The following is a 15,764-nucleotide window of genomic DNA, read 5'->3' on the forward strand; positions in this document are numbered from 1 at the left end:
TTGGCAAAGGTTAACTACAGTTAAGGACAATGGAGAACACTGAGAAAGATGGAATGGGGCTACACATGGGTCTGAGGGGTGTTGAGAGGGGACACAGCTTGGTCGGACAAGTCTGATGATCCCCTAGATATATCAGGTGGCCGGGAGAAAAATGTCAGCTGAGAAGAGTGACCACAGTCTCTTTGAGGGCAGGGATCCTGTTTGATTCATCTAGGTATCCCCAGTGCTTGGCATAGGGCCTAAGGCAACACACAGGGCCTAGTAAAGATGGTTTTAAACTGGGGATATAAATAAACCAAGCCAAGGGACCCAGTGACATGAAGTCCCTCTAGGATAGATTAGCACAGAACTGATAGTCTAAAACATTGTCTGGGGAAAGGATTCCCTTGTTATCATCTCATAGAATGTGCTTGGCTACAAACCTGGCTTTGGTGGGAAGTATTTTCTAGGTAGCAGAAATCTTTTAATCCAGGCTTTTAAAAGTTTGAGGTTTTGTATGTGTGTGCATATGTTATTGTAGTTGAGTGCTGATAATGACTGAAGTGCAATTATTCCTTAGTGTAAACCCCAAAACAAGAAAACCTCATTAAATGTAGACTGGTTGGCTGAAGTTACTATAAAGAAGTAACTTAGTGTGTATATTCATTATTAAGTTCATTATCTCAGAGAAAGACAGCACATTATTTTAAATATCTGTGACCTATTAAAAACTGCCCTGTATTAAATAGCCTACTAATCAAGTTTGATTTGATTTAGGAGTATTTTATCAATCAGCTGAAGATAGAAGGAGTTGAACACCTCCCTCGCCGTGTAACAAATGAAATCACAAGCAACAGTCGCTATGAAGTTTACACACAAGGTGGTGTTATATTTGCGACAAGTAGGATACTTGTGGTTGACTTCTTGACTGATAGAATACCTTCAGATTTAATTACTGGTAAGAATTTGAAATCTTATTATTAGTATGTAAATTTGTACTTTTTTTTTTTTAAGTACAATTTCCATTTTATTTTTCTCCAGAGAATAGTCTGTCTTCAGTCTTGAAGGACTCAGCTCCCTACATCACCTTTGGTAGGGGTCGTGGGGCAGCACCCACAGGTCTAAATCTGGGTGGGGGTGTTCGGTCCTTGCAGGCTTCACAAGATCGATTCCTGACTACTTTGTTGTGAATTGCACAACTCACACAGTAATTTAGCTTCACATACATCTTGGGAAGCACATAGGCGTCGAAGATGCTCGCTTCAGAAATGTCCCTGACTGCTGTGGCCTCCACTGTGTTTTGAATGACGAATTTCTTAATGGCTTTATCCTTGGGCACACATCAGGCACAGTTCGTGCAGCAAATAGGCTGCACATGGCCGCAGCCCTTTTTGGCATGACCGTTGTCCTTTCTTTTCTTTGTCATCTTGGAGGCACGGACCGGAGAGGGTATTTTCTACATTTTTATTTTTGTCTGTCTCCTCTGCTGAACGCTCTACTAGAACCTTCTAGTGGGCACTACTGGATCCTTTTGTTCAACATTATGCTTCCAACTTTCAGCATGATACCTGACACATTGTAGATGCTCAGTAAATATCTGTGACCTGAATAAGTAACTAAATGTTAGATTAACTTTTCATTGTTTTCTAAGCTCTTATTCAGTAAATACTTGCAATTCGTTAGCATTTGCTTTTAGAACTTAATCAGATTTGAAATGTTTATAAATAATCTTTGTATATTTCCTAAAATATTTAGTTTTCCTCCTTAAGATTTTTTTGGCATTATTTGAAATTAAATCAAGTAGTTGCTTGCTTATTTTGAGGAAAAATTATTTTAGCTAGAATTAAATAGAAAAGAAATTCATTTTCATTATCCTTTCAAAACCTTTTCTGATGTCCCCAAAGCTAATGTAGGGGCTGTGCCTCTGTGCCCTCATATTACCCTGTATTTCTCCCCAGTCATAGTGCTCACAACACTACATTATATTTATGTGTTTGTCTATCTCACTCACAAGATAAGCTGAAGCACAAGGAACAAGTTGTTCATCCCAGGCTAAATAACTGGTACATGGTAGGCACTAAAGACGTATTTGTTGGGTGAATGATGGATGGATATAGTACTGTGATCGTTAGTGAACTTCTGGAGGCAGAGAGACTCTGAAATTCATAATCTTATTCCCACTGTATCTGTCATGTTGCCCTGAACCTAGATGACCCTCAAGAAAAATTTGATAAATAAATGTGTCAATGAATGCTTCAATGGTAAACCGACTGAAGAAGTTTGGTTACTCTTTTATAACTTTTATAATTGTTATAAACAGTATCATAGGCTCACCTGGTTTTGAATGCTAACACCCTGCTTACAAAGCAAACTCCTTAATTTTCATTAACCCCAGTTTTCTCATTAAGAAAACAGTGCTTCCTGAAGTTATTATAAGGATTAAGTTAATAAAATAATTTCTTAGTATAGTGCCTGGTACACAACAAACTCTTAGTAATTCATACCAAATAAAATTGGCCTTTTGTAACCAGAAATCTTGATACACCAGTCTTTTACTGTTTGCTGCTTTCTTATAAGCTTGGTTTTACTTTATTTTTTAAATTGATTTAAAAAAATTTTTTTGTTGTGTTTAAAACTACCACTAGGTGTCAGTAATATCCTGTGACTTTCAGTTACAGTGCAACCTAATTAGGCAGAGAGCAATGTGAATTTATGCAACGTTGAAGTCTGGCTTATCTGTAGCTCCTAATGAAAAATGCCAAATTCCCTCCTCCTTTCTGATCAAAGCCCACCGAATAATGAAGCTGGAGCTGTTACTGATGCTTGGCTGAGTGGAATGTAAATGAATGCCAAAAATGAATTCTTTTGAATTCTTTCATCCCCTGGGATCATCCCCCAGGACTGACCAAAGAGCAGTGCGTGAAGTGCAGGTAACCCTCTGGAAAGGCTGAATCCCCCAGCCCCAACTTCTTCACCTGTCACCACCCATTATTACCACCACACCCCACCCTGGGAATCCCTGCTAACCAGAACTCCTAACACGTGGGAGAACTATATAAATATCTGGTGAGGTTGTACCTTGAAAAGAACAGGACAGGAGGATGCTTTCATTGCCAAAACTGACCCTGACATCTCCAGACAGAACTAAGAACACACTTTCTGGGAAATATATATGTATTTTTCAGTTACACTTTTGATTTGTGTACCCAGTGCTGTGCCTCCACTTTATATTCATTCAACAAATATTTAACTCACTAAGGGTCCCTTGTTTGGCAGGAAGGGTGCTGAAGATAGACAGATGAATGGGACAGTATGGTGAACTCGTGAGTTAGACTGCTTCTGGGTTTGAGTTATCTTCATCTTGCACCAGCTGTGTATTTTTAGGCAAGTTTCTTAATTTCTCTATGCCTCAGCTTACTCACCCGTACATTGGTGATAAAGATAGTACCTTCCTCCTAGGATTGTCAGGGTGAAATGAAATGCTTATATGTAAAATACTTGGTAGCATGGCACATAGTCAGCATTCTATGATCTCTGTGATCTCTGCCTGTTGGTGTTACGATGTTCCTGTTCTCGGGCAGTTTAATGGAGGAGACAAGTAAAGAAGTAGTTATAGTACAGTATGGGTACAAAATGTCATAGGAACAAAAAAAACTAAAGTAGGCTTTTGTGGAGCTAAAACTCCTCCCAAAAACCTAACCTGCTTCTATTATTTTTATTTTTTGAAAAAGGAGTGTCTTGAGTTGGTGTGACTAAATAGGAATAACATGATTTTACACATGATTTGGAACCTTCGGCCTCCCACTTGCTTGCTGGATGACCTTGGTTAAGTTGCTTCCCTTCCTTGGTCTCATCATGATACCTACTGCATGGAATTATCATAACAATTAAATGAAATGAAAATCTATAGAAACACCTAACCCAGTTACCTGGGATGTAGTATCAGTTCTCTTCTTCCTCCTGGGTTCCAACCAAAATAAAGACAACTTTTTGGAGCGCAACATTTTCTTAAATTGAGTTTCTCCTTTTCTTTGGAAGTTCATTTTTATTATTCTTGACTCTACGTAATATTTCAATCCAGGCTAACAAAATGTGGCCTCTTAGAGTCCTTGGGAAAACCCACCAATTAGGTACAGAATATTTTCTGAGTAGTAAATTAGTTATGTACGTGTATTGGGGGGGTTATTGAAAATCCTTTGTCTATGAATTCCTAAATAACATTATTAATTTTTACTATATTTGGAAGATAATTTGCTGAGCTAGAGTAAATTTAGCTCCATCCACCTCTATCCAAAACTTAAACATTAAAATAGTAAAATCTGAGTTTAGTTTATTGAACTATTAGAAGGGTCATAAATCACTGTTAGTATTATTGTCCATACCCTTCCAGATATGAGAACTGGATCAAAAGCATGCAAGTACCATTATGCCAAATATATATAAGGTAACCAGCTTGATTTAGGTCTAAAAGACAGACTCGTCTTGGAGTAATTGTGGTTTTGATCTAGAAAGCATGTCTGTATGCCTTTATGTCATCTCATGTTTCTCCCTAACTTAGCACTAATCACACTGCATCAGATGACACAATATATATGAAAGATCTGGGTCAGTAGTCTCATTTCATAAATAACAAAGCATGTATAATTGTTCTTATTTTTGAGATGCTGAGGTGTTATAATCATGTACACCCCCAAAGACATGTATAAGTATGTCGATTGAAGGTTTTTGTTTTAAATGGACTAATTTACCTCTGAATTGACTATCTTCTGATTCTGAAAATTGAATTCATCTCATAGGTAATGTAGATGTTGCCCAGACTTCTAAAATGTGGCTATTTTGTATAGTCCACATCTGATTCATACATTAAAAAAAAAAAATTCATGACCTACTTTGCTTTCAGAAATTCTTCCTCTGACATGCCAGAAACACCCCACCCCAGGGCCTGTGCCCTCACTGTCCCCTCAGCCTGGCAGCCTGGAACTCTCTTGGCCCAGATGGTCACAAGGCTCCATCCAGCCTTTATTCAGATACCACCTTGGTGAGACCACCCCTCATACATACTCCCTCTCCTCCTTCTCTGATTCATTTTTTCTTCTCAGCACTTGTAGCATCCTAAATATTTTACGTATTTATATTGTTTATAGTCAATTCCTTGAGGACAGGGATTTATCTCTGTTCTGTGCGTGGCTATATGCCCAGTCTAGAATGGTGCTTATTCATTCTCTTGTAAGTACTTAAGAAAAATGTGATGAATGAATGGCAATTACCTACCTGTTCTGTAGTTTAAATTATGTTTCTCCCCCTCAGGCATCTTGGTGTATAGAGCCCACAGAATAATCGAGTCTTGTCAAGAAGCATTCATCTTGCGCCTCTTTCGCCAGAAAAACAAACGTGGTTTTATTAAAGCTTTCACAGACAATGCTGTTGCCTTTGATACTGGTTTTTGTCATGTGGAAAGAGTGATGAGAAATCTTTTTGTGAGGAAACTGTATCTGTGGCCAAGGTAAAGAACATTATGTGACAAATAATGATGACATTATTTGTCATCTTTGTTTGTGAGATCTACTGTAACTTAGTTGCACTTTGATGTAATATAATGTAAAATTCATTGTAATTTTGTTTGATAGAACCTAGTCAGTTTTATAACAAACACATCCAGCTATAAATATGTATTCACCAAGTTTGTGGTTTTATTTAAGTCGAGAGCAATTTGATGGTTGCTTTTCTGCTGGTCCATCACATCCATCCAAGACAGCCACTTTATTCTTTCTTACACATTTAGGGAAACTCCCAGGGATCTAGAGACCCACATATACAACAGCTTTAGGTGTACAGCAGATTTATTGGCTAACATTACCACTTCTGCTTTGAAAATTACTCAACAGGGAAATAAAGCACAAAGGTTTTGAAGAAGTTTTATTAATTTCTAGGAATAACATTAAGGTTTCAGTTTTCAAACATTTTTGCAACCTATGCTACCATGTATTTTGGTTATAATATATGTTATTTTGAGAGTAGTTGTACACCGGGTGCAGTGGCTTACGCCTGTAATCCCAGCGCTTTGGGAGGCCAAGGCAGGCGGATCACCTGAGGTCAGGAGTTCGAGACCAGCCTGGTCAACATGGTGAAACCCTGTCTCTACTATAAATACAAAAATTAGCCAGGCGTGTTGGCACATGCCTGTAGTCCCAGCTACTTGGGAGGCTGAGGCAGGAGAATCACTTGAACCCAGGAGGCAGAGGTTGCAGTGAGCTGAGATCGCACCATTGCACTCCAGCCTGGGCAACGAGCGAAACTCCATCTCAAAAAAAAAAAAAAAAAAAAAGAGTAGTTATAGTATTTTTAACTTTCTTGATTATACCTTGTTTTAGGAGTCAACAAACTCTTCATGTAAATGGCCAGGTAGTAAATATTTTGGGCTTTGCAGGCCATATAGACTGTCACAATTACTCAACTCTGTTATTGCCCAAAAACAAGTATAGACTGCTTACATAAGTAATGGTGTGACTGCATTCCAGTGAGACTATAGAAACAGGTACAGGATTTGGCCCAGACCGTAGTTTGCTGACCCTTTCCTTATCTGAATAATACACTGCTTCTATTCATTGAGGTTCAAAGTGTTTTTGAAAATGTTGTTGCTTTGCTTTTCATTTGTTTGTTGTTTTGCTTTTCGTGTTGTTTGTAGCATTTATAAAAATGGGGTGTTAAACCAAGACCAGAAATACATAGCTGCTGAAACTCTAGAAAATTGTTGAAAAATATTTGTCTCTTTAGGTTCCATGTAGCAGTAAACTCATTTTTAGAACAGCACAAACCTGAAGTTGTAGAAATCCATGTTTCTATGACACCTACCATGCTTGCTATACAGACTGCTATACTGGACATTTTAAATGCATGTCTAAAGGAACTAAAATGCCATAACCCATCGCTTGAAGTGGAAGATTTATCTTTAGAAAATGCTATTGGAAAACCTTTTGACAAGGTACTCTTTTTCCTTTTAAGCACAGTTTATTATGTTGTAATTTTAAAGAATGCAAGTTATTTTAATATTTGCAATGTTGTTAATAGGAATTTGCTGTTATTTAAGAATAAAATTGGAGGTCACTTAAAAACATAGCTTCTTTGGTTTACTGGAAAGTAATAATTTATAGTAAAGTATGTGGATTGGCATATAAGCATCACTCTGACTTTTGCAGTTATAGTAAGTGATTATCTCTTATTTTAACTATAATCAAGAAGAAAATAAATAACTTTTTTTACTTTGAAATGACAACACTTGGATGTCTACAGGTAGAAGAGTTTTACATAAGAATGCTCCATAATTGTACATGAATTTATGATCTCTTTTATGGAATAAAAAATAATTTGGATGAGTTTTCATTACTGAGGAGTGTGAAACTTGCTCTGTCTTAAAATTACATTCTGAATTGAGGAAATGGTAAGACATCAGTTCCAGGAATTTTTATTCTAACTAATTTTTTATTATAGATTAATATTGCAGATATATAAATGTCTACTTTTTCATTATAGATTAATATTATTACAGATACATAAACGTCTAGTATTGAATTGGAGATCCAGAAAATGCTGACCTTTTAGAAATTCTTGGCAGCCTTTTTGTCATATTCTGGTAGAAAAAGTTTCTGTCTTTTAAACTCTGAGTCAATCTCTATGTCACTGGCAATAATGCGTGGCGATTATAAAAAAGGAAAAAATTGACTTATTTCTCTGATTCTTCAAAAAAGTCAGTTGACTATGAATATTGATACATAAAACTAATTTTATATATTCTGTTCCTCTGTGCTTAAAGTTTTTTATGATTTAGTCCATGGTGATTTTTTTTAAATCCCACACAATCTTTTAATAGAATGTGTATATCCCTAGAAAAATAAAATTGTAGCCTAACATGTTTCACACTGAATTTCTGTTGATTATCCCCCGGTTAGTAACAGTCACTTCATTGTTTTAGATATTCTTTTAGTAACCATATCTAAATATAGATATCCCATGTGTCTTGTTAAAATGTTTAATATTTTGTAGATGATTTTACAAAAAAGGCATGTAGTTATATATCCCAGTTTGTTCAGGATAGTCCCAGTATCTACCTGTTGTCCTGCAGTGATTATAAATAGTGTATCATTTCTTTTTCCACAAGTGTTCTGGTTTAGACAATAAACTATACAGTCATCCAGATACTTCTCCTGCTCATTATTAAATTTGTTAGATAAGATTCCGTGCAATGGTACTGCTTTTATATCAGGCTACAAATTTCTGATTAAAAATCAGATAATTCTGTACCTAAAAAGTAACAGAATCAGTCTGTGAAGGAAACATACATATACATAGCTGTGGATATGTAGGTACCTACATAGTGTATACATAAAGCTGTTCTTTGTTTTAGACAGCATTTTGGAATCTTAAAAAATAATTGGCCGGGTGCGGTGGCTCACGCCTGTAATCCCAGCACTTTGGGAGGCCGAGGCGGGCAGATCATGAGGTCAGGAGATCGAGACCATCCTGGCTAACACGGTGAAACCTCGTCTCTACTAAAAATACAAAAAATGAGCTGGGCGTGGTGGCAACGCCTGTAGTCCCAGCTACTTGGGAGGCTGAGGCAGGATAATGGCACGAACCTGGGAGGCGGAGGTTGCAGTGAGCCGAGATTGTGCCACTGCACTCGAGCCTGGCTACAGAGTGAGACTCCATCTCAAAATAATAATAATAATAATCAAACTTAGTCCATTGTTAATTTAACAAATATTTTCCTATCATGAATCCACTTTAGAAAAAACACTAAAGAAATTTTTACACCAACAAATTATGGTACGTTGTTATTTAATTTGATAATTCTTATTTAATTTGTACATGGGCATCAAACTAAATTTTTCATTTCTTGGTTATACCTTATTTTAAAGGTCAAAAAACATGATACTCATGTACAAATTAAATAGCAATGTACCTTAATTTGTTAGTAAGCCATCGTGCTTGTGTATGCCCTCTGCTTGGTCCATTTGGATCCCATGTCTTTATCCATCCAGGATAGTCAGAGTCAAACTTGGCAGGAATTGAACATATCTGAGCTACATGCTTAGATTCTGTTCATAAAAACAAATAATTGATTATCTGATGTTTATAAGGTCTTTTCTCCCCTGACAGTAATATATATTTGGATGATAGATTGACTCTATCTGATCATAAAGATTCTAGCAGTAAGACATTCTTCTATATTTGAAAATTTAAACATTATTATTAGAATTTTATTAACTGAAATGTTCTAGCCACTTCCTTGAATAATGCTTGCAGTTTTTTTATTGTAGTAAAATATATATGACATAAAATTTACCATTTTAACCATTTTTAGATACACAGGAAATAATCCTTTTGAAAGTATGATTTGTATTAAGAATAACTATACTTAACATATTTTAGCAATACCAAATTTTATTCTTGTTTTAGACAATCCGCCATTATCTGGATCCTTTGTGGCACCAGCTTGGAGCCAAGACTAAATCCTTAGTTCAGGATTTGAAGATATTACGAACTTTGCTGCAGTATCTCTCTCAGTATGATTGTGTCACATTTCTTAATCTTCTGGAATCTCTGAGAGCAACGGAAAAAGCTTTTGGTCAGAATTCAGGTGGGAGATTAAAATACTAATAATATTCTAAGAGCTGATTTGAATAAAGTGTTAGGTTTTAGGGGGAATCAGGTGTGAAAAGTGCTATATTCAACTATATGTTATACTGAGATTTCAAATTATGTTTTATGTTCATAGCACAAAGATGTAGGTTTTATTGATAGCTAATGTTTCCGCCTACTTAACGTCTGTTCTGTATAATAATAAATATTCATATCCGTTCCGGGCAATTTTATTTCTAGAAAAGACTGTGTGTAGTACAGGCAGTCCTCAACTTAGAAATAGGTTGTGTTCTGGAAGTTTAGTTGTTAAGAACTTAAAATTCATTTTCCTCAAAGCAAAAGCAAGGGAGTATGGGGCTTCCATCAGCTAGAGTGCCAAAGACTGAAGAGCAGAAGAGATTTTAGGGAAATATACATATACAGCTGGCCACCATCTCGTTTGGCTACCACTGTTTTGGCCTCTGTCACTGTTTGACCAGACCAGCGGTTTTCAAAGTGTGGTCCGTGAACCCCTGGGGTCAAGATTTAATACAGTTAATAATTCTGATGGTTCTTTAGGGACATTCTTAAGTGATGAACTGCAGAAGCATGACAGTAAAGAATGCACTGAATGCCAGTACACTTTCATGGCACTGCCTTGGTTCATGCTACGGCACCAGCATGTACAATTATGGAGCATTCTTATGTAAAACTCTTCTACCTGTAGATATCCAAATGTTGTCATTTCAAAGTAAAAAATGTTATTTATTTTCCTCTTGATTATAGTTAAAATAAGAGATAACCACTTACTATATAACTGCAAAAGTCAGAGTGATGCTTATATGCCAATCCACATATTTTCCTATAAATTATTACTTTCCAGTAAACCAAAGAAGCTGTGTTTTAAATGACCTCCAATTTTATTCTTAAATAACAGCAAATTCCTATTAACAACATTGCAAATATTAAAATAACTTGCTTTTACGCCATCACTGGAAATGTCAACGCAGTGAAAAAAGTCAAATAATGTCATGGTATTGTTACGAGAAAAGTTCTGACATCACATAGCCCTGAAAATATCTTGGGGGCCCCTGGGAGTTCACGGACCACACCCAGAAAACCACTGGTCCAGCTGAACAGCGACAGATCACAGTAGTGGGAGGCGGTGTGGTTGGTAGGAAGACAGGATGACAGCCAGTTACGTATGTAGGTCATGTGACCATCAGAGACTGTTTTAAATTAACCATAAATTGATGGCACTTTTTCTTTTAACTTTTCGTATTAGGTTGGCTGTTTCTTGACTCCAGCACCTCGATGTTTATAAATGCTCGAGCAAGGGTTTATCATCTTCCAGATGCCAAAATGAGTAAAAAAGAAAAAATATCTGAAAAAATGGAAATTAAAGAAGGGGAAGGTATCTTGTGGGGTTAAGTCTTTAAATGTGTTTTTTATTTCGGTATTTGGTATGGAAATTTAAAGTGCAATTTAAAGTCTTCTTTGGCCATGTGAAAAGTGTGTTCCTTGAAGATAAATGTATGTATGTTTGTTATATGTAACATGTAATGTATGTTGAAAGTATATATGTAAAGTATATGTGTAATGTATGTCGAAGTATACAGCATGGCAAGTCTTGCAGTCTATTGCCCAGGGCTTCCAAATAACAGATGTCAAATATTGATCAAAAGTATGCTACATGAGGAGCTATATATTGATTTTTTTAGAACTTCAAAGTAATTATTATTTTTGAGTCAGAATGAGGTTGGGGCATGGTGGCACACACCTATAATCCCAGCCCTTTGGGAGGCCGAGGCAGGAGGATTGCTTGAGCCCGGGAGTTCAAGACCATCCTGGGCAACAAAGCAAGACTCCATCTCTACAAAAAAAATTTTAAGGCTGGGCTCAGTGGCTCACGTCTGTAATCCCAGCACTTTGGGAGGCTGAGGCAGGCCGATCACCTGAGGTCAGGAGTTTGAGACCAGCCTGGCCAATATGGTGAAACCCCGTCTCTATTAAAAATACCAAAAATTAGCCAGGCGTGGTGGCGGGCACCTGTAATCCCAGCTACTCAGGAGGCTGAGGCAGGAGAATCACTTGAACCCAGGAGGCGGAGGTTGCAGTGAGCTGAGATCACACTACTGCACTCCAGCCTGGGCAACAGAGTGAGACTCGGTCTCAAAAAAAAAAAAAAAAAAAAAACACAAAAACTTTTAAAGTAGCCTGGCGAGGTGATGTGCACTTATCGTCTCAGCTACTTGAGAGGCTAAGGTGAGCCCAGGAGTTGAAGGTGACACCAAGATATGATCACACCACTATACTCCAGCCTGGGTGACAGAGTACGACTGTGTCTCAAAACTAATAAATAAAGTCAGGATGGAATATTTGAATATCCTTTTTAATTTTTAAGCAACATAAATATACTAGAATGAGGCAAATATGGGTTTTATTCCAGCATCTTATCTAGTGATACCGTAAATATCACTAGTTTTTTAAGGCATGGGATAGGGTTAATGCCTGCTTTCTGCCTAGTTTAAAGGTCTGTTTCAAAACTTAACTGAGGCCGGGCGCGGTGGCTCATGCCTGTAATCCCAGTACTTTGGGAAGCCAGTGCAGGTGGATCACCTGAGGTCAGGAGTTCGAGACTAGCCTGACCAACATGGTGAAATCCTCTCTCTACTAAAAATACAAAATTAGCCAGGAGTGGTGGCACATGCCTGTAATCCCAGCTACTTGGGAGGCTGAGGCAGGAGACTTGCTTGAACCCAGGAGGCAGAGGTTGCAACGAGCCGAGATCATGCCATTGCCTCCAGCCTGGGCAGTAAGAGTGAAACTTCGTCTTAAAAAAAAAAAATCTTTTTAAAGAAAACTTAATTGAATATATTATTGATGTGTTTGTGTTTGAATGCGTATAGGAACAAAAAATTTAATTGTTGTCTACTTTTATCCATGTTCAGGATTATGAAAGTCATGGGGATTTTAGAAATAGTAAATACTGTCATTGTGTACCGATGCCTTTGTTTTGTATAGCTGCTTATATATAGTGTCACAGAAACAACTAACACAGAATGGTCTCTCATTAGTGACCATGCATATAACTTTCTACCAAGGCATTTTGAAAGCCATATTAATGGTTTGAAGTATCTTTCATTTACACCTTAAGTAGATCTTTTTCAGGAAAGCAGATTCCATCTAACATTATAAAGAAAGCTTAAATAAATGGGCATATGTACTGATGCTCGTGTTATCTGTTGTTTTAAAAGCCTTTGGAAGACTTTATGGGTAAATATTATCACATAGAATGAGATATTTTTATTTCTCTACAGAAACAAAAAAGGAACTGGTCCTAGAAAGCAACCCAAAGTGGGAGGCACTGACTGAAGTATTAAAAGAAATTGAGGCAGAAAATAAGGAGAGTGAAGCTCTTGGTGGTCCAGGTAGGAAAAAAGGAGATGAAAACATTTGCTTCCAAAATCTATCAAATGAGTCCTGATTTAATTAGCTCTTTAAAAGTAGTTCAAGACTAGCCTGACCAACATGGTGAAACCCTGTCTCTATTTTAAAACACTGCTATTTTATCTATAAAATGTAGACAAATAAATGGCAAATGAACACTGAGATCCTAGTGGCAACCTCATTTCTGTTCGTTTGATGTTGTTTTCTCCAGGTTGAATCATTGTATATTCATGAAAGCAGGTTTTTAAACTAGTTGGGTTCTTAGAACTTCTATTTAAAGATTGAGCTAATCTCTACACATATTCACCAAGCTTTAAATCTGGAATCCCCAAGGAATAAACTAATGGGTCTCCTGTTTTATATCCTCAGCCAAGTATCTTTCCAAAAAAGCCTCAACTCTTCTATTACTTCAATATGTAATGAGCCGGTACAAACTGAAGACATTGTCTAAATTGGCAGAGGAGACTAACACAATTCACAAAAGAGGAAAAATCCATTTGGAATTAATTTAGGCATATATGAGATCCTCTGGAAAAAAATATTAATTAAAAAGAACTTCTTTAAAGCCCCAATTACACCACAGTTGTACTTTCATAAGATTAAATAGTCTGGCTTCAACTTTACTGAAAAGATTTAAGTAATCTTGCCAGAGAGGAGAAAGCATTTGATCAATACCTAAGACCCTTTTTAAATAGTTTGTAAATTGTGGATCTTTAATACCAAAGGGTAAGATGTCTTCCCTTCGGGTGAAGGAATAAGGGGGCACAGGGAAACTAGGAGGACAAGTGAGGTAATAGTAACATAATGTTGTTTTCTATTTTCAGGTCAAGTACTGATTTGTGCAAGTGATGACCGAACATGTTCCCAGCTGAGAGACTATATCACTCTTGGAGCGGAGGCCTTCTTATTGAGGCTCTACAGGAAAACCTTTGAGAAGGATAGCAAAGCTGAAGAAGTCTGGATGAAATTTAGGAAGGAAGACAGTTCAAAGAGAATTAGGAAATCTCACAAAAGACCTAAAGACCCCCAAAACAAAGAACGGGCTTCTACCAAAGAAAGAACCCTCAAAAAGAAAAAACGGAAGTTGACCTTAACTCAAATGGTAGGAAAACCTGAAGAACTGGAAGAGGAAGGAGATGTCGAGGAAGGATATCGTCGAGAAATAAGCAGTAGCCCAGAAAGCTGCCCGGAAGAAATTAAGCATGAAGAATTTGATGTAAATTTGTCATCGGATGCTGCTTTCGGAATCCTGAAAGAACCCCTCACTATCATCCATCCGCTTCTGGGTTGCAGCGACCCCTATGCTCTGACAAGGGTACTACATGAAGTGGAGCCAAGATACGTGGTTCTTTATGACGCAGAGCTAACCTTTGTTCGGCAGCTTGAAATTTACAGGGCGAGTAGGCCTGGGAAACCTCTGAGGCAAGTTATAAAGAATCACAGCTTTCAGTTGCACAGTTCTTTAGGATTTAACCCAGAAACTATACCAGTTGCATGTTAGTTTTCTTTAATATCCGTTACGATGCTGCTTATGTTTATGAAACCTTATTTTGCTTCCTGATGAATCTGGGAAGTTGGATAGGAAGGATGTCAAGTATCACAGCAGAACAACAAACCAAGGGGACTGCTCTTGTTCTCGTTACGTGCTGCTGTGCGTTCTCTCCTTTATTCTTTGGGTATTGGTTTGCATCGTATGGGGTACTGTATCTGAAAAAGTCTGGGAAATGCATAATATTCTAATTTCTAACAAAAGTTAATATAACTGTGACTCGGCTAAGTAATTTTAATCTTCTAAAATATCTTTCCTATAAATTTTAAGAAATGACTCTAAATTACATCCATATAAAACTAAAGTGTTGGGGGAATTACTGTACCAGGTTTTCTTGAGTTTCAAGATATATCAGATGAAACATCTACAGAAATATCAGATGAGAAAATGATGCCTCCCAAAGAAGATAGTGTTCTGGCTTTCCAATTATCTGAGGGGAAATAAACAGCAAAATTAATATCCTGAACTCAGTCTGAACCAAAAACGGAGCCAAAAGAAACCTTCCCCTAGCATTTTAACTAACACAGCCTTTCAGAGTAGAGATGAATGGAGGAGCTGGATCAGAAATAATGCAGGATGAAGAGATTAGATGAGGCTGGTAAAATAATTATAGGCTGGTAAATTTTTTGTACCGTGCTGTTGATCAACTTTGTAGATAGCTTATGTACACCAAGCTTCTTTCTTGCCTGAGAACAGAATAGTGTGGTATTTGGGAGCAAAATGTTAGAATCAGAAGGGACCTGGGAGTTCAACCACTTACTCTATCAACGGGAAACTGAGGCCCAGAAATGGTGACTGAGTTGGCCTTGGCCACATGACACATCCGTGGGAGAGCTGAGTCTCTTGACTCATCACCCAATGATCTTTTCTCTGTTTACACTTCAAAGAATTATCATCTAGGAAGATAACAGCTAAAAGAAAAACCAAGGCTCAAAAAGGAAAATAGCTTTGACTGAAGGTGAAGCAAAGGGACAGAGGAGGTGCTTAATTCAGCTCTCTTAGCAACAAACAAGATGGAAAAGCAGGCCTTTTTTTTTTTTCCTTTTTTTTTTTTTCTTTGAGGCAGTGTCTTGCCCAGATGCCCAGACTGGAGTGCAGTGTTGCAATCATGGCTCACTGCAGCCTCAACACCTCCCCCTTTCCCTGACTCACGTGATTCTCCCACATC

At 37.4% G+C, this 15,764-nt stretch overlaps 1 protein-coding gene, 1 long non-coding RNA gene and 1 pseudogene across 7 annotated transcripts in view; 1 reads left to right on the plus strand and 2 right to left on the minus strand.

Moving 5' to 3' along the window:
• LOC105371093 (uncharacterized) overlaps positions 1-5,339 on the minus strand; it is a 43,766-nt gene extending 38,427 nt beyond the window's left edge. For 2 of the 3 annotated variants that reach the window (XR_007065000.1, XR_007064999.1), the window contains exon 1: positions 5,251-5,332. This is a non-coding gene — a long non-coding RNA (uncharacterized LOC105371093). Of the gene's footprint in view, positions 1-1,499; positions 1,584-3,401; positions 3,547-5,250 lie in introns of those variants that run through there. The other variant, XR_007064998.1, reaches the window with a different exon arrangement.
• Positions 1-15,764, plus strand: part of ERCC4 (ERCC excision repair 4, endonuclease catalytic subunit) — a 32,195-nt gene that overhangs the window by 1,121 nt on the left and 15,310 nt on the right. The window contains exons 2-9 of one of the 4 annotated variants that reach the window (XM_011522424.4): positions 757-937; positions 4,880-5,017; positions 5,287-5,482; positions 6,754-6,961; positions 9,436-9,616; positions 10,883-11,011; positions 12,918-13,028; positions 13,872-14,469. In XM_011522424.4, coding sequence (XP_011520726.1) covers positions 757-937; positions 4,880-5,017; positions 5,287-5,482; positions 6,754-6,961; positions 9,436-9,616; positions 10,883-11,011; positions 12,918-13,028; positions 13,872-14,469 — 1,742 coding nt within the window. Of the gene's footprint in view, positions 1-756; positions 938-4,879; positions 5,018-5,286; positions 5,483-6,753; positions 6,962-7,269; positions 7,418-9,435; positions 9,617-10,882; positions 11,012-11,041; positions 11,131-12,917; positions 13,029-13,871; positions 14,470-15,764 lie in introns of those variants that run through there. The other 3 variants (NM_005236.3, XM_047433774.1, XM_011522427.2) reach the window with 3 other exon arrangements.
• RPS26P52 (ribosomal protein S26 pseudogene 52) lies at positions 989-1,427 on the minus strand (annotated as a pseudogene).

This window comes from Homo sapiens, chromosome 16 (assembly GCF_000001405.40).
Source record: "Homo sapiens chromosome 16, GRCh38.p14 Primary Assembly".
Lineage (NCBI taxonomy): Eukaryota > Metazoa > Chordata > Mammalia > Primates > Hominidae > Homo > Homo sapiens.